Below are 26,078 nucleotides of genomic sequence, written 5' to 3' on the forward strand. Positions count from 1 at the left end.
GCGAACGCACCACATTCCGGAACGGGAAGAAGGAGCTGTCTCTCTCTTCTGAGGGGTAGGCAGGTGCTTCCGAATCGCGGAATGTAGGTGCTCATAAGCTGGAGACCCACGGAAAGAACCTAGAAGCTCCGAGCGGTTGCAGACAGCACTGCATTGAGCCAACGACTCCTGCTCTACTGATGGTGATTCCACAGCTTTGTGAGGAATAAGTTAAGATGAAGTCAGTGAAGTTTTCTGCGAATTGCAAACATTGTAGCAAGTGTTACCAATTTTATTAGTTCGACCACGACTTCACTCCTATATTTTGAAAAGCTGTTTGCCAAATTGAACATAACAATAATGGGAAAACAGATTTTGCTCAATCAGACCCAGCTCAGTCGGAACCTAGGTTTATTGTGGATCTGATATAATTCTAGCACAAAACAAGGAAACCTAGCATTTAATACCACCAGAAAATATACAATTTCTGGTAGGCTTTTTTAGAATATTGAAAATTGATTATAGGCGGGCGCGGTGGCTCATGCCTGTCATCGCAGCACCTTGGGAGGCCTAGGGGGTCGGATCACCTGAGCCTGGAGGTGAGGATCAGGCTGAACCTGAGGTTAGAGACCAGCCTGGGCAAGATAGCGAAACCCCGTCTCTACAAAAAGTACAAAAAATTAGCTGGGCATGGTGGCAGCAGGCCTGTAGTCCCAGCTACTCGGGAGGCTGACATGGGAGGATTGCTTGAGCTGGGGAGGTTGAGGCTGTAGGGAGCGGAGATCCCTACACTCCAGCCTGTGAGACAGAGACCCTGTCTCAAAAAAAAAAATTTTTTTCATTTGCCGCATTCTAAGGGGTGGGAGTTAGAAACAACTGTGTGATTTTATCCTTTTCAATTCTATCATTCTATGATTCTTATATATTTATTTGGGAATAAAGTGTGAAAATACTCATGACTTAGTAAACTACGTGCGTATTCAAGGAGGTAAAGGAAGGCAAAGGTTTTTAAAATTTAAAAAAAAATGAGAATTACATAATTGTTTTTAAACCGTTATCCTTGGCTACGAAGATCAATAACAAGGTGACACCAGTCGGAAACTGGACAGGAAGTTGCTGGGCAGATGTTTTTGCGGAAGTATTTTTTGTGTAAGATTGTGGCTTTTGGCCAGGTGCGGTGGCTGAGGCCCATAATTCCAACACTTTGGGAGGCCAAGGCGAGTGGATCACCTGAGGTCAGGAGTTCGAGACCAGCCTGGCCAACATGACGAAACCCTGTCCCTACTAAAAATACAAAAATTAACCGGGTGTGGTGGCATGCACCTGTAATCCCAACTACTCGAGAGTGTGAGGCAGGAGAATCGCTTGAACCCAGAAAGCGGAGGTTGGAGTGAGCCAAGGTCGTGCCACTGTGCTCCAGCCTGGGCAACAGAGCAAGACTCCATCTCAAAAAAAAAAAAAAGATTGTGGCTTTTGCAGGTTTTTGTGATAGTTTTTGTCATCAGGTGTGCAAGCATGAGACCCCTTCTCTTCATGACCTCTGAATCTATTTTTCAGTGTTTTAAAAAATATATTAGTGACTACCTCCCACCCCCTTTTGTTTAAGAGATGGGGCCCCCCACCCCCTTTTGTTTAAGAGATGGGGCCCCCCACCCCCTTTTGTTTAAGAGATGGGGCCCCCCCACCCCCTTTTGTTTAAGAGATGGGGCCCCCCACCCCCTTTTGTTTAAGAGATGGGGCCCCCCACCCCCTTTTGTTTAAGAGATGGGGCTGGGATGCAGTGACTGTTCACAGGCAAGTCTATAGCACAGTACAGCCCCCAAATTCCTGGGCTCAAGCAATCCTGCTGCCTCAGCCTCCCAAGTAGCTGGAACTGTAGGTGTGTACCACCGAGCCCATATAATTCCATTTTGATTACGACAGCTTTCACGGAAATTAGGCATTAAGTAGGGTAAAAACATTTATAATGTTTTAAAGATTAATTTTTTAGGAGATTAATCTTTCAGAAGAGGTGGGAAATTAGGAACAAAGACTAGGAAAAATTAAAGCAGTTCGAGCGTAAATGATAAGATTCTAGATTAGGATGGTGACAAAGAAAGGGAATATTCTGAGAAAAACACTAAGGAACTGATGGTATAAAGTTTAATTACTCTCTGTAAAACTGTCTTTACCATCCTTGAGAGTATGACCCATATCTGTCATATTCATCACTGTCTATATCAGTGCTTGACACAATGGTCAATATGTTGATTAAGTAAAAATGATGAAACACAAACAGAAATGACTCCAAACATGACTTCTGGGTAACAATAACGTAGTGACAAGATTGGAGGTGTCCAGTAGATGGTTTAGTTTTGAATGTTTTGAATGAGTGTGGGATGAAAAAAACTCAAAGAATAGGCAGTGGTCGAAAACACAGGGTTAAGGCACAGAAGAAAGTTCAGCACATGAGAGACATTTGGAAGTTACTAAGGGCATAGTATATCATCATCAAATAGTTATTATGGACCTATTATTTGCTAAACATATTGCTTCCCCCATGATTCTCAAACATCGGTGCCCAGAAGAATCACCTAGAGAGCTTGTTAAAAACCAGATTTCTGAGCTCCACCTTATGAATATGCATTTGTACCAGCACCCAGGTGAATCTGAGGCAAGTGACTAACACTTTGAAAACACTGTGATTGGCCGGGTGCGGTGGCTCATGCCTGTAATCCCAGTACTTTGAGAGGTTGAGGTAGGTGGGTCACTCGAGGTCAGGAGTTTGAGACCAGCCTGGCTGGCATGGTGAAACCCCGACTCTACTAAAAAAATACAAAAATTAGCTGGGAGTGGTGGCATGCTCCTGTAGTCCCAGCTACTTGGAAGGCTGAGGTAGGAGAATTGCTTGAACCCAAGAAACCCAGGAGGCAGAGGCTGCAGTGAGCTGAGATCGCACCTCTGCACTCCAGCCTGGGCAACAGAGTGAAACTCCGTCTCAAAAAAAAAAAAAAACAAAAAACACAACACTGTCCTGTGATTGATAATGTAGAGAATGTGAAAGAGTTTCCTTCCAGGCCAGGTGCAATGGCTCACGCCTGTAATCCCAGCCCTTTGGGAGGCTGAGGTGGGTGGATCACTCAAGGTCAGGAGTTTGAGAACAACCTGGCCAACATGGTAAAACCCCATCTCTACTAAAAATGTAAAAAATTAGCCAGGCATGGTGGCGCATGCCTGCAATCCCAGCTACTTGGGAGGCTGAGACAGGAGAATGGCTTGAACCCAGGAGGTGGAGGTTGCAGTGAGTCGAGATCGTGCCATTGCACTCCAGCCTGGGCGACAGAGTGAGAGTTTCCTTCCAAGTTGCTTATGCTGAGGACTGCTGTGATTTGAATGTACCCACCAAAACTCAGGTTGAAATGTAATTGCCATTGTAACAGTGTTGAGAGTTGAGACCTTCAAGAGGTCTCATGATTAGGTCATGAGGAGTACTGTTAGTTATTGCAGGAGTGGGTTCCTAATAACTGGATAAGTTTGGCTCCCATCTTGCCTCTCTGTCTCTCATGCTGTCTTGGGCCTTTCACCATGAGGTGACCCTCCCCATATGCAGGCACCGTGCTCTTGGACTTCCCAGGCTCCACAACTGTGAGAAATAAATTTATTTTCTTTATAAATTACCCAGTCTGTTGTATTCTGTTATAGCAGCAGAAAATGGGCTGAGACAGAAAGTAGTATGACCCCAACTGAGAAGTCTCCTAGGGGGAAAGAAAAAAAAATCATCAGTTCTTAGTATTACCTCTTTGGAATGTATTTTTTATAAAATCTAAATTCACAAAAAGAAGCTGAGAGTATGTGATGCAATAGAGCTTCATTTTTGTACCAGATAAATGTACTGGCTGAATACATAATTGTAATGACTGAAAGTACACAGTCCTTATTAATTTCTACTGGCAAGATCTTCTGGGAAAGCAGAAGAAAAAAAGAGGAAGCATGGTGAAACACACACAACACACAAGAAGGAAGACAACTTAGGAGAAGTAACAAATAGGAGAAGAAAACAAGAAAAAATGAAAATAATGTAAAATGAAAACAAAACCCACATAGTTAAAAGAATACCATCATGTTGTTAAATATAAACCACAAAAATTGACCAGAGAAAATCCAGTCTTCTAGCAAAAGCACTGATACTGTCTAATGGAGTTAAGATGGAATGGAATTACCAAGCGGATTGAACTTTCCAGGCATTATTTCTGAGGTGTCTTATCCAAATGTATTTTAGGAAGATAAGGCTGCTGGTTTCCATCTACAGCTAGCTCTGCCCTTTGTAACAGATTCCTGACTCACCTGCAGGGTTTACTACCTGCTTGCCCAGATTGCTGTCTAACCAAATATCTGAGTGAACAATAGTTTCCTGTTAAGTTTTGTTATTAAGTTAATGTGGTTGTCCTGGTAAATTAGTAATGTAAAATAAACTGAAGATGGTATTAAAAAGCTAAACTAGGCCTGGCACAGTGGCTCACACCTGTAATCCCTGCACTTTGGGAGGCTGAGGCAGGCAGATCACGAGGTCAGGAGTATGAGACCACCCTGACCAACATAGTGAAACCCTGTCTCTACTAAAAATACAAAAATCAGCCAGGCATGGTGGAGCGCACCTGTAATCCCAGCTACTCAGGAGGCTGAGGCAGGAGAATCCCTTGAACCCAGGAGGCAGAGGTTGTGGTGAGCTCAGATTGCACCACTGCACTCCAGCCTGGGCAACAGAGTGAGACTCTGTCTCAAAAAAAAAAAAAAAAAAAAAAAAAGGCTAAACAGAGGGCCAGGGCCAGCACAGTGGCTCATGTCTGTAATAATAGCACATTGGGTGGCTGAGGTGGGAGGATTGCTTGAGGCCAGGAGTTCAAGATCAGCCTGGGCAACATAGCAAGACCCCATCTCTATAAAAAAAACTTAAAAATTAGCTGAGTGTGGTGATGCATGACTTTAGTCCTGGCTTCTCAGGAGTTGAAAAGAGAGGATTACTTGAGCCCAGGAATTGAAGGCTATAGTGAGCTGTGATCACACCACTAAGGTGGGGCTGACAGAAAGCTAAAAAAAAAAAAAAAAAGCCTAAGATTAAGAAAACCAACATTGATTGGAAAAATATTTAATAGTTTTATATATGGTGAATGAATACATATTTTATGAAGGTATAGGAAGGTTTAGATCCACATAAAGATCATAAGCCAAAACAAAATTAGGTCTAATGAATTCTGTAAGAACACATCAATTGGTGTCATTATGAGGTGATATTAAAGGGCAGAAGGGGAAAAAAACTCACCTCACATTGAAACATAGCAGATAATGTTACAAGTCTTTTGCTCCATGGATTTGACCACCTGTGTCTGTAATGTAATATAAAGTGATCTGGAAAAGTGGATATAGTTGGAATCAAGAAATGTTTAAAACAGTACATTGTCCATTATAATTTGCATCAAGACTCCTTCCTAGATGGTGAGTGATACTTTTCTGCCTAATGCCTTGAGTAGTGTGTAAATAATAGCGCTTCTAATACTGACTCCTATCACTCCTGAAGTTATTTTTATACTATGTAATATGAACTTAATATAAGTTCATAGTCAAGACAGAACAAAATCATGAAATGATGAAATATAATATTAGTACTATGTGGAAAAGGAGGAAAGGGTCCAGTGTGTCTGAGGCCCAAAGAGGTTCTGAGCTAACTTGAGTTCACAGCATCAGTCCTATACTGCTACACATTGAGGATCTGTTATCTGAAATGCTTGGGACCAGAAATGTTTGAGATTTTTCTGGATTTTCGAAAATTTACATTACACATACCAGCTGAGCATCCCAAATCCAAAAATATGAAATCCAAAATGCTCCAATAAGCATTTCCTTTGGGTTTCATGTCAGTGCTCAAAAATGTTGGATGTTCTGATTTGTTATGCCCAACCTATAGTATTTTATGGGTGTGGTTATGTACAGTAATGCTAAACAGATTGAGTGTTCTTTACCTAAGCAACTTGGAAGTTTCATGATAAGAAATTCGACTGGTGGCAAAGAGAAATGATGTATACAAGTTTGGTTTAGGGATAAATCATGGTTATCAGAGAGAAGGAATGAGCTTGAATGTGATGAATAGTACTCAGATGGCCTTCCATACCAATCCCCCTGGACTCATGCCCAAGTTCTCAGGAGAGAAGCCTGCAACAAAAGAATTACACCACTGAATTATATAAGAAATAGAATGCTAAAGTGCCACTAAATTGTGAACTTGTCTAAAGAACCCTGAATGAAGAATGGATAGTATTTGGATACAATAATTTTGATTAGATGTATATAGCAACCTTGAAGAAAAGTTAGTTTTGGGGGCATATTTTTAACCTTTGAGGATGATCTGAAGTAAAGCAAGCTTTGCTCTGACAGTGATTCCTCTTATTCTCTGAATCAGTATGGTAATTCTTATTTTCGTAATTTGCTTTATTCAGGTACAGCAGGTATGTCTTTTATCACTGTAAGTCATCCCTCACACAGACGCCTGAGCATCTACCATTAAACCAGTTCATCAACTGCATTTGCATTTATCACTTTGTTGTGAGATAGTAGAAACTGGTATTTCGCCTTCAGTTTGGAAAAAATAGGTTAAAGCAATAAAGCTGATGGCCAAAATCTTGGCGCTCCACCCCCATATTTAACAACTGAGGGTTGCCTTGCCAAATCTGGGTCATCTCTGTTTGATGTTACTTTAGATGATTCAAGAGCACATCTTAGTCTTCAATCTGTTGAACGACTGTCACAAGTAAAAATCGATTCTCATGCACCATTCCTCATTCTTTCTTTGCTGGATACCACTCTCAAACACTTGGTTTGTACCAAGATGTAACTAGATCTTGATAATACCTCTGAAGAAATTATAAGCTGAATTTGGTATTGGCATCCTCTGCAGTGCCAGCCACAATGTATTACTTTTTATTGTTGCCATAACAAATTACTACACATTTAAGAGAAACCTCAAGAGTAACCAAATCTTCTGATAACTTGATCTTGGACTACTAGACTTGAGAACGTGGGAAAATAAATTTCTGGTGTTTAAACCACCTGGTGTGTGGTATGTTGTTATGGCAGCCTAGCAAATTAATACAGGTATCTAAGAGCCATTTTTAACAGTAGCTGTTAAAATTTGAGTAGAGATTTTATTCAACAAAACTGTAAAATTACATGTTCCATTTGTTTTACTAATGTAAAAGGTATCTTTCTCAGAAAGACACACACAGAACTTGGTGGGACTTTCTTGAGAACAATATTGAGTCACAGTTTATTTCCATTTTTTCCTCATGAGAAGAAAATGCACAAGCAATTAATGTTGTGGTGAGAATTATGGAGAATTTGGCTAAATGTCCTAAAATAATCAGTAAGAAAAAGAAGGACATATTTAGCAACATTAAGAACAATAAAAATTAAACCCACATATGTCAAAGACAAAGGCCAGCATAAAAAGGTAAACCAAGCCAGGTGCAGTGGTACACATCTTTAGTCCCAGGTACTCAGGAGACTGAGGCAGGAGGATCCCTTGAGTCCAGAAGTTTGAGTCCAACCTGGGCAGCATAGTGGGACCCTGTCTCAGAAAAAAAAAAAAAAAAAAAACAAATGATAAATGTGTGTAAAATTTTGCGGTAAATGAGAAAGACAAACCCTAGGCTCTATATAGTGCACATTGATTGTGTTTTGGCCCCCACCATCCATTTGCCTTACTTCTGGTAACATTTGAGGATCTGTGCTCTTTCTTATTTTTCTGTCCATGTGGTTCTGAACAGAGCCCAAAACTCCAGGAAGTGTAGCATATAATCCAGGTTTAAACCAGTGAATCACATTCACAATGCCTTCCTGAGAGATTGGTTCAAGGATGAGCAAATGATTCAAGAAAGAGGAGCTTGTGTTTTGTTTGTTGTTGTTGTTGTTGTTGTTGTTTTTCTCATTGGATCTGAAGCATAAGAGATCTTCAGATTGGGATTGAAACTGTTTCCACCATCTTGGTACCATCTTGCTACCATGTGGAACCCCTGAATGAGACCAACAGAGGAAAGCAGAGTTAACAAATGGAGATGGCTGGGCACAGTGGCTCATGCCTATAACCCCAGCACTTTGGGAAGCCGAGGTGGGTGGATCACCTGAGGTCAGGAGTTCAAGACCAGCCTTGCCAACATGGTGAAACCCCATCTCTACTAAAAATACAAAAATTAGCCGGACCCCATCTCTATTAAAAATACAAAAAATAGCCCGTAAAAATAAAAAAATTAGTCCCAGCTACTTGGGAGGCTCAGGCAGGAGGACTGCTTGAACCCAGGAGGTGGAGGTTGCAGTGAGCCGAGACCGTGCCACTGCACTCCAGCCTGGGCAAGAGAGTGGGACTCTGTCTCAAAAAAAAAAAAAAAAAGAAAGAAAGAAAGAGAGAGAGAGAAATGGAGGGAGGAAGGTAGGGAAGTTAAATTCTGACCACATCATTTCAGCCTTGAATCCAGCCATGTCTGATCTTAGTGCTATCCCAAAATATAAAGTTACATAGGCAATAAATTCCTTAACTGCTGTCCTTGCATTTACTATTGTAATTGTCAGTATCTTTCAGTTCAACTCAGATTCTTGATTTTGATGACTATGTCTTTACTGGTTTATTCCCAGCATCCAGTAAAGTACCTGGTATATAAAGGGAAGGGTTATTGTATTTTTACTGAATAGATGTTGAATTAATATACCCTCACGTTTTACAAGTGCCTTAAAAAACTAATCCAACTTTCTATGTAATTTTGACTTGTCTTTACAACATTATGAAGATATTTTTTAGACTAGGGTGAATGCATGACTCACTAAGAACTCACTAGTATTCTCTTAATATCATGACTCCATATTTTTAGTGGGTGACACCATTTGATACACTTCCAAACACCCCCATAGCAACTGATGTTTCAAAAATACACTCAAAAGACTTTTTTTCATCTGTGTCAGATCACATACTATATATCATCTTGGATCAGAAGCCCCAGTAACAATCTGCTATGGAGATCCTTGTTTGCCTTCTTACTTAGGAGTCAGCACAGTCTCCAGATTGATTTTTGTTCATTCTTTCATTCATTCATATATTCAGTCAATATACCCTTAATCTATTGCTGCATAACAAGCATACATAAGCTTAGAGGCTTAAACAACATTCTCTTATATAGTTCATGACTCCACACTTTGGCAATTTTTACTGAGCTCAGATGGGAAATCCTTTAGGTCTCCCTGGGACTCCCTTCTATGTCTGTAATCTGCTGCTGGATTGGCTGGAGGCTAATGGGTCTACAAGGACCTCAGGTGCAACAGCAGCAATCTGCTCCATGTGGTGTCTCATCATTTTATCTTGAGTATTAAGGTTAATCATAAAACCTGAAACCCTTAGGCTTGGGATATCACAGGGTAGGCAATAGAAAGATAAATTATTAGGGAGACTGTGGAATAAAAGTCAAATCCAGACTTTATAAGGAGAGACTTTATTCAAAAGAATTATTGCATTAGGGGGCAAAAATCGTAGTGGGAAAAATGCTTTGACCACAGGTCTACAAGTGACTTGAGATTTAGGAAAAAAGAGTTTTTCTTTTATAAGGAGTAAACAAAGCTAGAAAGAACCAGGTATGGGGAAGTGAGGCAAACGGGTGACGTGATCAGATAGATCAGAGACTATTTTACCTGGAGGCCAGTTTATTCTCCGGAGGGGCTGTATGCTTTTTCAGGATAATGGTGGGGCAAAATTTAGGGGTCTGGAGGAAGGAGAGAGCTTAACCAAAATTTTATTAAGGGGCATTTTGTTCCAATTGATCAAAATTTTCTTCTTTCTGTACAGAGGCTACAGTTGCCTCATGGTCTGTATGTCCTGGTCATCAGAAAACATTATTCAGAGTGTTACAGCCCTTTTAGAATTTGTCTAGCAAGTTTAGAAAATGATTCAAAGAGACTGACACTTAGACAATGCTGAGAAATGAGAAGGTATGGCTGGCTTGGCTTTTAAGCTGAAACTTTTACTACAGGCCTGGGAGTTATGACAGCTGGAGTCTGAATAGATCCCTATCAGTGCTTCCAAGGCTTCCTTTCAAATACAAGGAATTTGTTAACATTACTTACTTTTTGCCTGAAGCCACACTTTCCACTTTTTTTAAAAAAAAATTCAGTTTTTAGGGGTTTCTTTTTTGTCTTTTTAAGAGAGAGTCTTGCTATGTTGCTCAGGCTAGAGTGCAGTGCCTATTCACAGATGCAATCATAGTGCAACACATACAGCTTTGAACTCCTGCACTCAAGCAGTCCTTCTACCTTAGCCTCCCCAGTAGCTGAAACTATAAGCATGCACCACTCAGCCTGGCTCTTTCTACTTTTAAAAAACTTTACTTGTAAGCAAAGTGTCCAAAAACTTGTTCACCTTCTGGTTTCAACTCTGAAGTGTAAAGAGCTTGGAAGGCATCACTCTTGTCCTTACAAGAAGTAAAAAGCTATTTTGGCAGTCTACTACATTCAACAAATACTTGAACAACACAGGTTTGAACTGCAAGGGTCCACTTATACATGGATTTTTTTTCAACCAAATGTGTTTGGAAAATACATTATTCGCCAGATATGAAACCCAGGTACACAAGGGCTGAATTTTCCTATATGTGGGCTCTGTAGGGTGGACTGCAGGACTTGAGTGTTTGTAGATTTTGGTATACGCTTGGCTTCGGGAACCAGTCCCCCTGTGATATGGTTAGGCTTTGTGTCCCCACCCAAATCTCATCTTGAATTGTAATCCCCAGGTGCTGAGGGAGGGTCCTGGTTGGAGGTGATTGGTCATGGGGTGGTTTCCCCCATATTGTTCTTGTGATACTGAGGGAGTTCTCACGAGATCTGATGGTTTTATAAGTTACAGTTTCCCCTGGACTTCTTTCTCTCTCCTGCCGCCTTGTGAAGAAGGTGCCTGCCTCCCCTTCCACCACGATTCTAAGTTTCCTGAAGTCTCCCCAGCCATGCTGAACTGTGAGTCAATTAAACCTCTTTTGTTTATAAATTACACAGTCTAAGGTAGTATCTTTATAGCAATGTGAAAATGGACTAATACATCCTGAGAATACCAAGGAACAACTCTTATTTAACAATTATGTATTTATGTAACAACGTGTAACAATTCTGTATGCCCCGCACTATCTCATGTCCTGGGGGTGAATAGTAAATAAGGATTGTTTCCAACTTCAAGAAGAGTTCATTCTAATTGGAGAAAGAAATGCTGTATATATTTACAGGAGCTCTTTAAATATTAGGGAAATTGGCTCTTTGTGAATTGCAAATAGTTTTTCCTGCTCTATAGAGAGCATTCTTGTTACTGATTTTAGTGCAAATGCTTCTATAGTTTTTTCTTTATACTGTGTGTATACCTTTTGTTGTAGGTTTCAGATTAAAGCTGTTCGATTGTTTCCAAGCTGTAGGATTTTCTATCAAGAATAAGAGGTGTATATTGCCAAAGGCTTTTTTGCTTATAACTTATCATATTTTTTAATCTGTTAATTTAGTCGATTACATCTTTTTTTCTCCTAAAATAAACTCCACCTGGTCATCATAATAATTTTTTAAGTGTACTACTCATTCACTTTTCTTATATTTTAACATATTTATGTCTGTGTTTACAAGTGAGGTTGGTTACACCTTTCCATTCTTAGGCTGTTTCTCTCTGGTTTAGATATCAAGCTTATATTAGCCTTGTAAAATGAGTGGAGTAACTTTATTTTCCTCCGCTCTTTTCTGAAAGTTTATATAAGAAAGATATTATCTTTTTTTTTATACTTTGGAAGAGCTATTCAGTTCATTTCTTTAGCCAGTTTATTTTGGTATTCAATGTATTATTTCTATAAAACAGTTTATTGTATCTAAATTTTAAAATTTATTGACATTAACTTGCCTTTTTTTTTTTTTTGAGACACAGTCTTGCTCTGTTACCCAGGTTGGAGTGCAGTGGCACAATCGCTGCTCACTGCAACCTCTGCCTCCTGGGTTCAAGTGATTCTTGTGCCTCAACCTCCTGAGTAGCTGGGACTACAGGTGTGCACCACCACACCAGGATAATTTTTGTATTTTTAGTAAAGAGGGGGTTTCACCATGTTGGCCAGGCTGGCCTCAAGCTTTCCACCTGCCTCAGCCTCCCAAAGAGCTGAGATTACAGGTATGAGCCACCATACCTGGTCTGTTTATGGTTTTTAAAACCTCTACTGATTGATTCTGTATTTTATGCTGTTTTCTCTTCCACTTTGCATATATAATTTTATTATTTGTGCATTCTTCCTTCTTTTTTCCCTTGGTTGGTCTTGCTACATATTTCTATGTTTAATTGGATGCCATTTCCCATTAGCCTTAAGTGTGGTAGTGGGGTTTTTTCCTTAAAATTTTAAATAAAGAATTAACATTTACATTGTTTGGGTTTATTCTGTTATTCTTCTGAAACTGTCAGTTAGCTCGTTTATTTTCATTCTTTTGTTTATTTGTTTTTTATTTTCTTTTCAGAAGTAAAGAAAATAGGATCTCACTCTGTCCTATTGAGTGCAGTGGCGGGATCACAGCTCACTGCAACCTAAACCTCCTGGGCCCAAACAGTCATCCCGCCTCAGCCTCCAGAGTAGCTAAAATGCTCAGAGGCATTTGAACCAGAGTAACTCCATCTTGAATAGGGGCTTGGTACAATAAGGCTAAGTCCTATTGGACTGCATTCCCAAGAGGTTAAGGCATTCTTAGTCACACGATGAGACAGGAGGTCTGAACAAGATACAGGCCATAAACGACTTTGCTGATAAAACAGCTTGCAGTAAAGAAGCCTGCCAAAACTCTCCAAAACCAGGATGGCAATAAGAGTGACCTCTGATCATCCTCATGGTTAATTACACGCTAGCTATAATGCATTAGCATGCTAAGAGACACTCCCCACCAGCGCCACGACAAATGCCCTGGCAATGTCAGGGAATTATCCTGGATGGTCTAAAAAGGGGAGGAACCCTAAGTTCTGGGCATTGCCCACACCTTTCCTAGAAAACTCATGAATAATCCGCCTCTTGTTTAGCATATAATCAAGAAATAATCACAAAAATGGGCAACCAGCAGCTCATGCCACTGTTCTGCCTGTAGAGTAGCCATTCTTTTATTCCTTTGCTTTATTTATTTTATTTTATTTTATTTTATTTTGAGACAGAGTCTCATTCTATTGCCCAGGCTGGAGTGCAATGGTGTGATCTTGGCTCACTGCAACCTCCGCCTCCCGGGTTCAAGCAATTCTCCTGCCTCAGCCTCCCAAGTAGCTGGGATTACAGGCATGTGCCACCACACCTGGCTAATTTTTGTGTCTTTGGTAGAGACAGGGTTTTACCATGTTGGTCAGGCTGGTCTTGAACTCCTGACCTCAGGTGATCCACCTGCCTTGGCCTCCCAAAGCGGTTTTTTTTTTTTTTTTAACATAAGAAAAGCACAGATATATTGAAATGGAAGTACACTCTACAGAGTCAGACAGGCTCGAGCAAGCAGCTCAAGAGCCTATTCCTTTACTTTCTTAATAAACTTGCTTTCACTTTACTCTATGAACTCACCCTGAATTCCTTCTTGCGTGAGATCCAAGAACCTCTCTGGGGGTTTAGATCAGGATGCCTTTCTGGTAACAGAACTACAGGCACACACCACTATGCCTGGCTAGTTGTGATTTTTGTAGAGACAGGGTTTTGCCACATTGTCCAGGATGGTCTCGAACTCCTGAGCTCAAGTGGTCCACCCACCTCCAATTTTTTAATCTATGAATTCTTCTTTATTCTTAATTTTCTACATTTGTTTATCTGTGAATTTATTTATTTAATTCTGGTCAGTATGCCCTTGCAATTTGTGGATGCACATTTTTCTTTAATTCAGCTATTCTTCAAATTACACTCCTCCTTCATTGCCCCAATTCTTTCCTTCTAGAATTCCTCTATGTATTCTCTATTTCTCATGTGTTCCTTTTTCAGGTGTTTTATTTCTTTATTTTTCTAAGCTATGTTTCAGGTAATTGTCTTAATACTTTTGCAGTTTACTAATTCTTAGATTTTATTTAGTATAGCACTTATTATTTCTATTGTGTTTTAATCACAATGGCTATATTTTACATTTCCAGATTTTTTAATAATTTTTTTTAATCTTCCTGCTCTTGGATTGATATCCACCTTTTTCTTGTTGTTATTTCATTATTTCCTTGTTCTTGCTTTCTGTATATTATTTCTTTCCTTCTTGAAGATTTTAAGCATTCTCATATCATACTTATTTTCAGAAAATTATTTTGTTTTTCATTTCTAGATAGAATTTTTTGGTATTAGAGCTGATTACCTATTTTATGATGAATTTATTTTTACTAATTTAAAACTGGTTTGTAAGTACTTTTTAAAAAGGTTTTATTGAGTAAAAATTGACATACAATGAACTACCCATATTTAGTGATTAGTGAGTTTTAACATGTATATACCTGCAAAACCATTGCCACAATCAAGATAGTGAATGTACCTATGACCTACAGAAATATCCTTGTAAAAGTCCAGTTTGAGGAGCAGGCTTTTCTGTTTTGTGTTTGTCTTGCTTTTCTTATCCCCATGTTTACGTTCTTATATTTGGCAGATTTCTTGTGACTTATCCAGTTTCCCCAGGTCCCCAATTTGAAGAGAGTCTTACATTAATCAATGGATAAGACTCATATCCTGCCAGGAGAACAATGGTTTACCTCATTTCTCCTAATCCAAGAAGCTACCAGATGTGAACTATAAGCCCTGGACATAGGCCAAAACCCTTTTAAATCTAAATATATAAGAAGCAAGCCTCTTGTTAATATCCAGTTTTACACTGTGAGCCTGACTTTGGTGCCTGCCACTAGTTAAAACTCCACTTGCCCCACAGAAATTGTACTCTTGTCATCTATGTGGTTTCTGATTCTATAGCCCAGATCTGTAGCTTCAGATAGGCAGATCTGTGTCCTCATCTGTTCAAGTCAAGGAAATGCTTTTCTTATTTTTTAGCTGAGCTAAGTCCTTTAAATTTGTATGCACTTTTTCATTGTCATGTGTTTGCAAGGACGGCAAAAGGAGCTTCGCCATTTGAATCTTGGAGCTCACAGGCTCATTCTTGACCAAAAGATCTCCAGACAGTTCTTAATCACTGGGTAGAGTGGTTTCAGTGTCAGAGTAATTGTGTATTCTTTCTCCCTACAGTTCAATTCTCCTATATTAATTCATACCCTTTCAAACTGAAACTTGTACATAAAGAATTCACTGTTGGCTGGGTTCAGTGGCTTATGCCTATAATTCCAGCACTTTGAGAGGCCAAGGCAAGAGGATTACTTGAGCTCAGGAGTTCAAGAGCAGCCTGGGCAACATAGTGAGACCCCTGTCTCTACAAAAAATTTAAAGGTTAGCCAGGCATGGTGGCACATGCCTGTAGTCCCAGCTACTCAGGAGGCTGAGGTGGAGAATTTTTTGAGCCCAGGAGTTTGAGGCAGTAAGCTATGATTGTACCACTGCACTCCAGCCTGTGCAACAGAGTGAGACCCTGTCTCCTGTCAAAAAAAAAAAAAAAAAGAAAAAAGAAAAAAAAAATTCACTCTTCAGTTTCCACAACCCTACTTCAGTTTTCAGAGTTCAGGGATCATGCTACCCTAGAGAAACTCTTCAATGAATACCAAATGTGTAACAAGTGTTACATTTTTTTCTAATTGGAATAAATCTCAGAAAGGCCTATCTTCTAGGGGTGGATGACCATAATTAAGCCCGGGAGGAGGGTTAAACCTCAATCTGGTAAACAAATAAAAAATAAAAAGCCTTGCATATGAATTAAGATATAATTATTTCATATTTTCCAAAGGAAAATGGCAGGAAGGCCAACTTCTTTCAACTTACAGGAAGGTAACTAAATAATTTTTTATTGTTAGGAGGGAATAATTTTAAAATGTGGACGTCCTGATTGCAGTAGGCAGAAGAAACAATGAACTGAAATGTTCCATTAATATCAAAGGAACATGTGTGAGTGTCTGTGGTACTGCTATGACAATGACGCACAAATGACTACTAACTTGGAAAGTAAAGGCTATTGTGTGAGTTAAGAATGTCAAATAAAGGCCAGGCACGGCAGCTCACACCTATAATCCCAGCACTTTGAGAGACAGAGGTGGGCCGATCACCTGAGGTCAGGAGTTTGAGACCAGCCTGGCCAACATGGCAAAACCCCGTCTCTACCAAAAAATTCAAAAATTACCCAGACATAGTGGCGCATGCCTGTAATCCCAGCTACTTGGGAAGCTGAGGCAGGAGAATTGCTTGAACTCAGAAGGCAGAGGTTGCAGTGAGCCAAGATCACACCACTGCACTCCAGTCTGGGTGACAGAGTGAGACCCTGTCTCAAAAAAACAAAACAAAACAAAACAGAAAAACCCAAAACAGGAAAACAAAAGAAAATGAATGTCAAATAAAAATTATAGAAGACCATTGTTTTGGACTAAGCTTCTATACTAGGCCCCAACAGATCAGACTAAAAATCAAAACAGAGTCACCCATGCTAAAGTTCCACATCATTACACCTCAATGAAGTTGCCATCTGACCTTCCAAGAAATCAGGAGAGTGAGATAACAGCTAATTTCCTAAGTAGGCCAGTTTATATCTTTAATCAATATGATAATGACATTCTCTCTGCTTTTTTTTTTTTAAATTGTTCTGTCACCCTGTCCTTGCCTTATAAGAAAAAGTAACTTGAAAAAGTAACTTTAAAAAGTAACTAAGCTGGACACTGTGGCATGTGACCGTAGCTCCAGCTACTGGGGAGGCTGAGGCAGGATTGCTTAAACTAGGAGTTTGAGCCTATAGTGCACTATGATCACACCTGTGAGTAGCCACTGTACTCCAGCCTGGGCAACATAGCGAGATCCTGTCTCTAGAGAAAAAATGGTAAATAACACATGTGTCATTCTTTACTTCTGCTTTCTTCAGCCCTTCTCTGTCTATAAAACCAACCTCTTCTGCTCAGTTCATTGGAAGACTTTCCAATGGAAATGAAATGTTGCCTGATTCTCGAATTACAAATAGAGCTAATTAAGATCTCTAAACTAAATTTGTTGTAATTTTGTCTTTGACAAGAACAATCCAGGCCTTGGTCCCAGTGCACTGAGAATACTGGGGCCCCATAGTTCTTGAGAGGACCTCAGGCTGCTGCCTTGCCCCCACTTCACCAAGCACTCAACTCCCAGGGCAAGGGTATCACTCAGAGAGAAGCTTGCTATTGTCCCCAGCACCAATCAGAAATTTGGCCTGGGGAGAGAGGAAAGCCATAAAACAGATAGCTTCTAATCTCTTCCCAAGGAAATTTACTTCATTTGTAAAGCAGCTAGAGAAGTTCAAGGCTAAGAGCATAAACAGTGGAGGTGTAGTGAAAAACAATTAGGAAGGGATTGGGAATAAAACAGCCAGAAGGAGTCTTTTTGGGGTCAGAAAAATTACACTGTCCTTAAAAACCATTACTTTAAAGGAGCCACATTTGATTGGATTAGTTTGTAGAGCAATTTATGCCTCCCAGGACATTGTTGAAAACAATAGAGCAATCAGACAGCAATTAGTGGAATTTAACAGCTGGATATGGTCGAAGAAAGAAAGCAAGCAACTGTCATCCCAGGGTCATGGTTGGGCATACCTAAAGCTGTACCTCCCTAAAGAGCAAGATCAGAGTTTTAACACTGTGTGTGTGTGTGTGTGTGTGTGTGTGTGTGTGTGTTGCTTTGGGGGTGCACGTGCATATATGTGTGGTGGAGGAGCACAGATTTCACTGAAATAATCCAAATAATCATTACACACAAAAAAAATCAAATAATAACAAGTCCCAGAACAGAAGGTGGGGCAGTATAACCATTGCTAAAATATATTATCTAAAAATTTCTGTTTTCCAACAAAAAATTGTTAAGAGTAGATAGCTAGGCAAACATGAGCAGGGCAAAAGAGGGCCCTCCACCCTTAGGAATGTCAAGTGACCATCAAATGATGGTAGGGAACTTGTTAAACTGACTATTGAAAATAGTAGTTGGTCACACCCAGTGCCAGGGAAAGGCAGTGTCCCGATAGATAAAAAAAACCTGAAGCTGGTCATCAGCAGCTTCCTGATGAGCTCTCAGGATTAGGCAAGTGGGCTCATGCATGTGCACTAAAAGGCAAAATGGTGGAGTTTAACTGGTATATGACCTTCCTCTAGGAACACTCAACTGGTAAGGGAAAAACATGTCAAATGGGTATGCACACAACTTCAGTAAACACACTGCGCATGCAGCCCTTCTCAAATGCTGGGAGGCCACTGCATATGTGGACAGCCCACCTCAAGGGAAAAATCAAGGGAGAAGAAATGCAAACTCTGAAACCATGCCAAAGTATAAAACTCCAAGTCAATGGCTGAACAGTGCACTTGGATCTCTCAATTTGCCTGCTTGGCTCTCTTCCAAGTGTACTTTACTTCCTTTCATTCCTGCTCTGAAAACTTTTTTGTTTTGTTTTGTTTTGAGACAGAGTATCTTTCTGTAGCCCAGGCTGGAGTGCGGTGGCATAATCTTGGCTCATTGCAACTTCCACCTCCCAGGTTCAGGCAATTCTCCTGCCTCAGCCTCCCAAGTAGTTGAGATTACTGGTGCGTGCCACCATGCCCAGCTAATTTCATGTCTTTAGTAGAGATGGGGTTTCACCATGTTGGCCAGGCTGGTGTTGAACTCCTGACCTCAAGTGATCCGCCCGCCTCGGCCTCACAAAGTGCTGGGATTGCAGGCGTGAGCTACCATGCCTGGCTCTGAAAACTTTTTAATAAACCTTTAGTCCTGCTCTAAAACTTGCCTCAATCTCTCACTCTGCCTTATGCCCCGCAGTCTAATTCTTTCCTCCAAGGAGGCAAAAATTGAGTTGCATATGGATTTGCCACTGCTAACAAAATTATGAGGTGTGCGAAGAAACGGGAAATTCTAGTGCATACATGCAACAAATACTGCCCATAAGAGCAACTAGATGTCAGATTTAACAGAAAAATACTTTAAACTAGCCATTATAAATATGTTCATAGAACTAAAGGAAAATATGATTAAAGGTGTAAAGGAAGATAGGCCAGGTGCGGTGGCTCACGCCTGTAATCCTAACACTTTGGGAGGTAAAGGTAAGTGGATCACTTGAGGTCAGGAATTCGAGACCAGCCTGGCCAACATGGTGAGACCCCCATTTCTACTAAAAATACAAAAATTAGCCAGGCATGGTGACAGGCACCTGTAATCCCAGCTACTCAGGAGGCTGAGGCATGAGAATCACTTGAACCTGGGAGACAGAGGTTGCAGATGAGCTGAGATTGAGCCTACTGCACTCCAGCCTGGGCTACAGAGTGAGACTCTGTCTTGAATTTAAAAAGAAAAAAAAAGGAAAGGAAGATATAACAATGTTACATTAAATAGAGAATAACAATAAAGAGATAGGAACTGTAAAGAACCAAATGGAAATATTGGAGTTGAAAAGTAACTGAAATAAAAAAATTCCCTGGAAGTCTTTTCTGGCTGCTCAAGAAGAAAAATAAAATTCACCGCAGGAACTCAATGGTAGATTGTCTGGCAGAGTAAAGAGTTAGTGAACTTGAAGATATAGTAAGTCCTCACTTAACATGTCAATAGGTTCTTCGGAACTGCAACTTTAAGCAAACAATGTACAGCAGATCTTCCGAAAACATTGTTTTCTTCAACATCATTTCATTAACACATTGATGAGAAAAAAATTGATTTTGTTGTACGTCATTTTGTATATCAATTGATAAACTTCCTCTAAGTACTGTCAAAGATAAATTTCAGGTAACAATTTATTCCATGAAATAGACTAAGTGCTCTCATGTATACAGCAGAAGAGGTTGGCTTTATAAGAGGACTGAAGAAAGCAGAAACAAATAACAAATAGTGGATTGGCCATTTCAAAGTTACTTTCTTTTTAGGGAAGGGCTAAGCGGTCAGAACAAGAGAAAGATGGCTGATTGGTTAACATCAAGTTACTTGGGTAATTCTTTATTGTAGGATTAAAACAGAGGGAACTTCATTATCATGCTGATTAAAGATTAAAACTGGCCTGTTTGGGAAGTTAGGCTATCTCTCTCTCCTGATAACTCTGATAGCAACAAGAGCAGCTCAGTTTCAGTTCGGTGATCACTGGCTTCGTTGTGATTTTTTACTCTACTTTGTTGGGGCCTAGTGGAGGAGTTTAGTCCAGAGCAATAGCTTCCTGTAATTTTTGTTTAATAGTACTCATTAGCTCTATCCAACAAATTTTGATATATTTTTATTATTATGTAGATTCAAATATTTATTAATTTTTCTTACTATTTCTTCTTTGCCTAGTTACTAAAAGTTTGTTAATTTCCAAATATTTGAGGCTTTTCAAAAATCTTCAATTGTTATTAATATCTGATTTAATTTTGGTTTTTAGAGAACATACTCTGGAAAATTTCAAGCTTTTAGAATATATTGGGACTTGTTTTACATTCCAGGATAAGGTCCATCTTGGCAAATGGTCTGTGTGCACAAGAAAGAATGTGAATTCTGCAGTTGTTGGGTAAATTGTTTTATAAAGTTCAGTTAGGTTAGGGTGGTTGATAATTATTTTAAGATCTTCTATATCCTTACTGATTTTTATCTAATTATTAAAAAGAAAATTAATATCCCCACTTCTTTTTATTTTTACTTTTGTTTTTTTTTTAGATACAGTGTCTCACTCTGTCACCCAGACTGGGGTGCAGTGGCATGATCATGACTCGCTGCAGTCTCACCCTTCTGGGCTCAAGTGATCCTACTGCCTCAGACTCTCAAGTAGCTAGGACTACAGGCATGTGCCGCCTGCCATATCTGGCTAAGTTTTTATTTTTATTTTTGTAGAGATGGAGTCTTGCTATGTTACCTAAGCTGGTCTTGAATTCCTGGCCTCAAGCGATCCTCCCAATCATCCTTCAAAGTGCTGGAATACAGGAGTGAGCCACTGTGTCCAGCCAATATCTCTACTTTTGACTGTGAATTTGTCTATTTGTCTCTTTAGTTCAGTCAGCTTTTGCTTCATCAATTTTTTAAGCTCAGTTATTAAGCTACCTACATTTTAGGATTTTTAAGTCTTCTTCATGGATTGATCCATTTATTAAAATATCTCTTCTGTCTTTATTCTTCTTGTCTTGAGGTCCATTAAGCCTAATATTAATAAAACTTTCAGCTTTCTTTTGCATACCATTTACATGATATATCTTTATCTTTTTCTTTTTAACCTATATGTATCTTCTTACATTTAATGAAATTATTGATATGTTTGGACTGAAGTCTATCATTTTTGTTACTTGCTTTCAATTTGCCAAATTCATTATTTTGTTTTTTTCCCCCCCTTTTTTGCTGACTTCTCTTGGCTAATAGAATGTTATCTTATCTGGAAGAAGAGGAATAGGAAAGAAAAGGAGTCAGGAATGGATCTTACTCAGAAGGCTGACTAGACACAGCCAGGTGGAAGAGCTCCCACTGCGGGACCAAGATGACTGGAATGCCCCTAACAGATCTTCAGAGGGAAGAAACCAGGAGTGGACAGAGAGAAGACACAGAAGCTGGGCTGAAGGTAGTGAAAGCTGGGAATGTGGCACAGGACTACTGCACACCAGGTTTTGTTCCTGGCCCACAATGGCTCTGGGGGATCAGGTGAGTTGAATTGTCAAGGAACAACCCACTGTTGCCATGGGCCTCTGGAACCCCTGTAGGAGAAGACCCCTTCACCATCACAGACATTCGAGTTGGCAGGGAGAGCTGCTTAGAGAAGGGGTAGGGGCAGCAAGCCATTGGTGTGGAGCACAGAGGGTATACTGCAGGAGTGTCTGTAGTGGAACATGGCCAGGGATGGCCATCCTAGGCTCAACTTGCTCCCATAGAAGACTTTAGCCCTAGGGGAACTGTCAGACATGATCTCTGCAGGGTGGTCTTCCCCATCAGGTGGGGCTGGTCCAACCTGAGCACCCCTTGGTCTGCTGGTCTCTCTAGGAGCCCCAGCCTGGTTACACCTGCTTGCAGAGCAGTCTCTAGTGCCCTGGCGGCCCACACCATTGCTTCTGTGCCTGGAAGACCATGCCTGACTGGCAGCTCCAGCCGGGCAGCCCCTATGGCCACACACCAGCCCACCTGCTCCCTCCCCATACTGCAGCATCCCCCCAGGCCCATGGCAACTCCCCACATCACTTTGCTGGCAATGTCTGCAGAGGCAGGTTTGCTTTCCTTGCCCACCAGTGTGCAGGAGTGCAGTCCAACCTCCCATCCCCACCAACTGCCATTGCAGAGAGAGCCTTGGTGGGCACAGAGCCAGCCAGCCCTTCCCCCACCAGTGCCCACTCTCGTGCTAACACTATGAGAGATCAGCAGATCCTCTGCAACACTGAGCGATCCCTCCTGTTTGCAGAGCACAGAGAAGGCAACCAGACCTGCATTTGCCAGCACCTTGCACCTGAGCTAACACCGCCACCAGTGCAGCTGCACACACAGTTGCCAGCAGGGCCCCCAACACCTACTGACTCCCCAGCTGCATTGCCTCTCCCACTGTGGTGATCACCTGCAGGAAGGCAGGCACCCTGGCACCCACTAGCACTCTGCTGCAGCTGCTGTACCTTGTCTCCTGTGCCACCCACAGCACAGTGGATTCCTAACCTCAGGGAGCCAGAGAACAAAGTTGGGAACCAATACAAGTCCCCCAGAATACAGCATGCAGTCCGGAAGTTGGAAGCTGAGCATTGGCCTTCTAAAATTTCCCAGAAATAAAGCCAGTCAGCTGAATCTACCTTATACCACAATCAAAGCCCCAAAATCATCAAATAGGTTAAAAGGAAAAAATATCCCAAAGTCAGCAACCTCAAAGATTGAAGGTAGATAGGCCCACAAAGATGAGAAAGAATGAGTGCAAGAACCCTGAAAACTCAAAAAGCCAGAGTGCCTTTTTTCTTCCAAACAACTGTATCACTTCTCCAGCAAGGGTTCTGAACTGGGCTGAGATGGCTGAAATGACAAAAACAGTATTCAGAATACGGATAGGAACAAAGATCACTGAGTTACAGGAGTACATTGAAACCCAATCCAAGTGATATGGTTTGGATATGTGTCCCCACCCAAATCTCATGTCAAATTGTAATCCCCAATGTTGTAGGATGGGCCTGCTGGGAGGTGATTGGATCATGGGGGTGGATTTGCCCCATGCTGTTCTCATGATAGTGAGTTCTCATGAGATCTGGTTGTTTAACAGTGTGTAGCACCTCCCCCTTCTCTCTTTTTCCTGCTCCAGCCGTGTAAGATATGCCTGCTTCCCCTTCACCTTCTGCTATGATTGGGAGTTTCCTGAGGCCTCCCCAGCCATGCTTCCTGTACAGTCTGTGGAACCATGAGCCAATTAAACCTCTTTTCCTTATAAATTACCCAGTCTCAGATATGTCTTTTTTTTTTTTTTCCTCCCGCAGCATTACTGCTGACTTATTACAAATCCCTAAGAGGGCTTTATTTTTTTCTTTTCAACATCCTGTTCTACAGCTTCCTTGGCTCTTTTTGCTTTTATGCCAAAGAGCTGGGCAATGGCACAGGCCATGAGGAGATGCGCGAAGGCTTTGAAATTCTTCTCCTCCTCAGTGATGACTAGGGCTTTCTCCTTTTTATAGACCTTCTGGATGGGCATGACTGGTCCTGTCAGCTGGATGGCCAATATCAGTTCTTCAACAGAACTGTCTCCCTTCTTAGGGGCCAAGGGCTTCCTGGGGAAGAGGATGAGCTTGGAATTGTACTCCTTCAGCCGCTGCACATTGCCCTGCAGGGACTCAGTGGACTTGTTCCGCCTCCTCCAATCAATAGAGATGCCAGTGGTTTGGGCCACATTCTTGTGAATGCCTGCCACCTTGAGCTCCTCTAAGCTGAAGTGCGGCTGATGCACACCTTGGTGTGATAGTGTATAGTGTGGCACTACATGATGGGCTGGATGGGTCCTGACTCGGGGTATGGGGCAGTGCGGTGTGCTTTTGCTTGCTGGGCCTTGCGTCTGCGGATCTAATGGGCCAGCTGGTTGAACCACTTGGCCACACATTGCTAGCAGTCCTTGCGGAAGTGGGGCTTCGAGATCATGCCATTATGGCTGGGCACCATGGCTGCCTATGGCCTGCCTGTGCAGGAAAACAACTGATCAGAAAGCCAGTCTGAGGTATTTCTTTTTTTTTTTCTTTTTCTTTTTAAATTATACTTTAAGTTCTGGGGTACATGTGCAGAACTTTCATGTTTGTTACATAGGTATACACTTGCCATGGTGGTTTGCTGCACCCATCAACCTGTCATCTACATTAGGTATTTCTCCTAATGCCATCCCTCCCCTAGTGCCCCACCCCCTGACAGTCCCTGGTGTGTGATGTCCCCCTCCCTGTATCCATGTGTTCTCATTATTCAACTCCCACTTATGACTGAGAACATGTGGTGTTTGGTTTTCTGTTCTTGTGATAGTTTCCTGAGAATGATGGTTTCCAGCATCATCCATGTCCCTGCAAAGGACATGAACTCATCCTTTTTTATGGCTGCATAGTATTCCATGGTGTATATGTGCCACATTTTCTTTATCCAGTCTATCATTGATGGGCATTTGGGTTGGTTCCAAGTCTTTGCTATTGTGAATAGTGCCACAATAAACATACATGTGCATGTGTCTTTACAGTAGAATGATTTATAATCCTTTGGGTATATAACCAGTAATGGGATTGTTGGGTCAAATGGTATTTCTGGTTCTAGATCCCTGAGGAATCGCCACACTGACTTCCACAATGGTTGAACTAGTTTACAGTCCCACCAACAGTGTAAAAGCATTCCTATTTCTCCACATCCTCTCCAGCACTTGTTGTTTCCTGCGATTTTAGTGATCACCATTCTAAACTAGTGTGAGATGGTATCTCATTGTGGTTTTGATTTGCATTTCTCTGATGACCAGTGATGATGAGCATTTTTTCATATGTCGGCTGCATAAATGTCTTCTTTTGAGAAGTGGCTGTTCATATCCTTTGCCCACTTTTTGATGGGGTTGTTTGTTTTTTTCTTGTAAATTTGTTTAAGTTCTTTGTAGATTCTGGATATTAGCCCTTTGTCAGATGGATAGATTGCGAAAATTTTCTCCCATTCTGTAGGTTGCCTTTTCTCTCTGATGATAGTTTCTTTGCTGTGAAGAAGCCCTTTAGTTTAATTAGATTCCATTTTTGTATTTTAGCTTTGTTGCCATTGCTTTCGGTGTTTTCATCATGAAGTCTTTGCCCATGCCTCTTTCCTGAATGGTATTGCCTAGGTTTTCTTCTAGGGTTTTTATGGTTTTAGGTCTAACATTTAAGTCTTTAATCCATCTAGAGTTAATTTGTGTATAAGGCGTAAGCAAGGGATCCAGTTTCAGCTTTCTACATATGGCTAGCCAGTTTTCCCAGCACCATTTATTAAATAGGGAATCCTTTCCCCATTTCTTGTTTTTGTCAGGTTTGCAAAAGATCAGATGGTCATAGCTGTGTGGTGTTATTTCTGAGGCATCTGTTCTGTTCCATTGGTCTATCTCTCTGTTTTGGTACCAGTACCATGCTGTTTTGGTTACTGTAGCCTTGTAGTATAGTTTGAAGTCAGGTAGTGTGATGCCTCCAGCTTTGTTCTTTTTGCTTAGGATTGTCTTGGCTATGTGGGTTCTTTTTTGGTTTCATATGAAATTTACAGTAGTTTTTTCCAATTCTGTGAAGAAAGTCAATGGTAGCTTGATGGGGATAGCATTGAATCTATAAATTTCTTCGGGCAGTATGGCCATTTTCACGATATTGATTCTTCCTATCCATGATCACGGAATGATTTTCCATTTGTTTGTGTCCTCTATTATTTTGTTGAGCAGTGGTTTGTAGTTCTCCTTGAAGAGGTCCTTCACATCCCTTGTAAGTTGAATTCCTAGGTATTTTATTCTCTTTGTAGCAATTTTGAATGGGAGTTTACTCATGGTTTGGCTCTCTGTCTGTTATTGGTGTATAGGAATGCTTGTGA

At 40.9% G+C, this 26,078-nt stretch overlaps 1 long non-coding RNA gene, 1 other non-coding gene and 1 pseudogene across 2 annotated transcripts in view, besides 5 other annotated features; 2 read left to right on the top strand and 1 right to left on the bottom strand.

Moving 5' to 3' along the window:
• The first annotated feature begins 13 nt into the window (after positions 1–13).
• Positions 14–26,078, top strand: part of COP1-DT (COP1 divergent transcript) — a 58,469-nt gene continuing 32,404 nt past the window's right edge. Inside the window, exons 1-4 of the long non-coding RNA NR_185981.1 lie at positions 14–220; positions 10,883–10,995; positions 20,534–20,598; positions 21,438–21,713. This is a non-coding gene — a long non-coding RNA (COP1 divergent transcript). The remainder of the gene's footprint in view (positions 221–10,882; positions 10,996–20,533; positions 20,599–21,437; positions 21,714–26,078) is intronic.
• Positions 173–242: an enhancer, noted in NCBI's record as "active region_2140". NCBI's record gives its function as "activates an Ori minimal core promoter by ATAC-STARR-seq in GM12878 lymphoblastoid cells {active_cell/tissue: GM12878}" and the evidence as "EXISTENCE:reporter gene assay evidence [ECO:0000049][PMID:35858748]".
• LOC124904756 (U7 small nuclear RNA) lies at positions 9,890–9,951 on the top strand. The gene has a single exon (XR_007067324.1). It is a non-coding gene; the product is annotated as a U7 small nuclear RNA (small nuclear RNA).
• Positions 17,083–17,719: an enhancer, noted in NCBI's record as "OCT4-NANOG hESC enhancer chr1:176193870-176194506 (GRCh37/hg19 assembly coordinates)". NCBI's record gives its function as "activates a minimal SCP1, AML or CMV promoter by ChIP-STARR-seq in primed H9 embryonic stem cells {active_cell/tissue: H9 hESC(primed)}" and the evidence as "EXISTENCE:reporter gene assay evidence [ECO:0000049][PMID:30033119]".
• Positions 17,720–18,355: an enhancer, noted in NCBI's record as "OCT4-NANOG hESC enhancer chr1:176194507-176195142 (GRCh37/hg19 assembly coordinates)". NCBI's record gives its function as "activates a minimal SCP1, AML or CMV promoter by ChIP-STARR-seq in primed H9 embryonic stem cells {active_cell/tissue: H9 hESC(primed)}" and the evidence as "EXISTENCE:reporter gene assay evidence [ECO:0000049][PMID:30033119]".
• Positions 19,371–20,360: an enhancer, noted in NCBI's record as "NANOG hESC enhancer chr1:176196158-176197147 (GRCh37/hg19 assembly coordinates)". NCBI's record gives its function as "activates a minimal SCP1, AML or CMV promoter by ChIP-STARR-seq in naive H9 embryonic stem cells {active_cell/tissue: H9 hESC(naive)}" and the evidence as "EXISTENCE:reporter gene assay evidence [ECO:0000049][PMID:30033119]".
• Positions 22,204–22,703: an enhancer, noted in NCBI's record as "H3K4me1 hESC enhancer chr1:176198991-176199490 (GRCh37/hg19 assembly coordinates)". NCBI's record gives its function as "activates a minimal SCP1, AML or CMV promoter by ChIP-STARR-seq in primed H9 embryonic stem cells {active_cell/tissue: H9 hESC(primed)}" and the evidence as "EXISTENCE:reporter gene assay evidence [ECO:0000049][PMID:30033119]".
• On the bottom strand, positions 23,533–24,179 carry RPL13P7 (ribosomal protein L13 pseudogene 7; annotated as a pseudogene).

Source organism: Homo sapiens, chromosome 1 (assembly GCF_000001405.40).
Source record: "Homo sapiens chromosome 1, GRCh38.p14 Primary Assembly".
Lineage (NCBI taxonomy): Eukaryota > Metazoa > Chordata > Mammalia > Primates > Hominidae > Homo > Homo sapiens.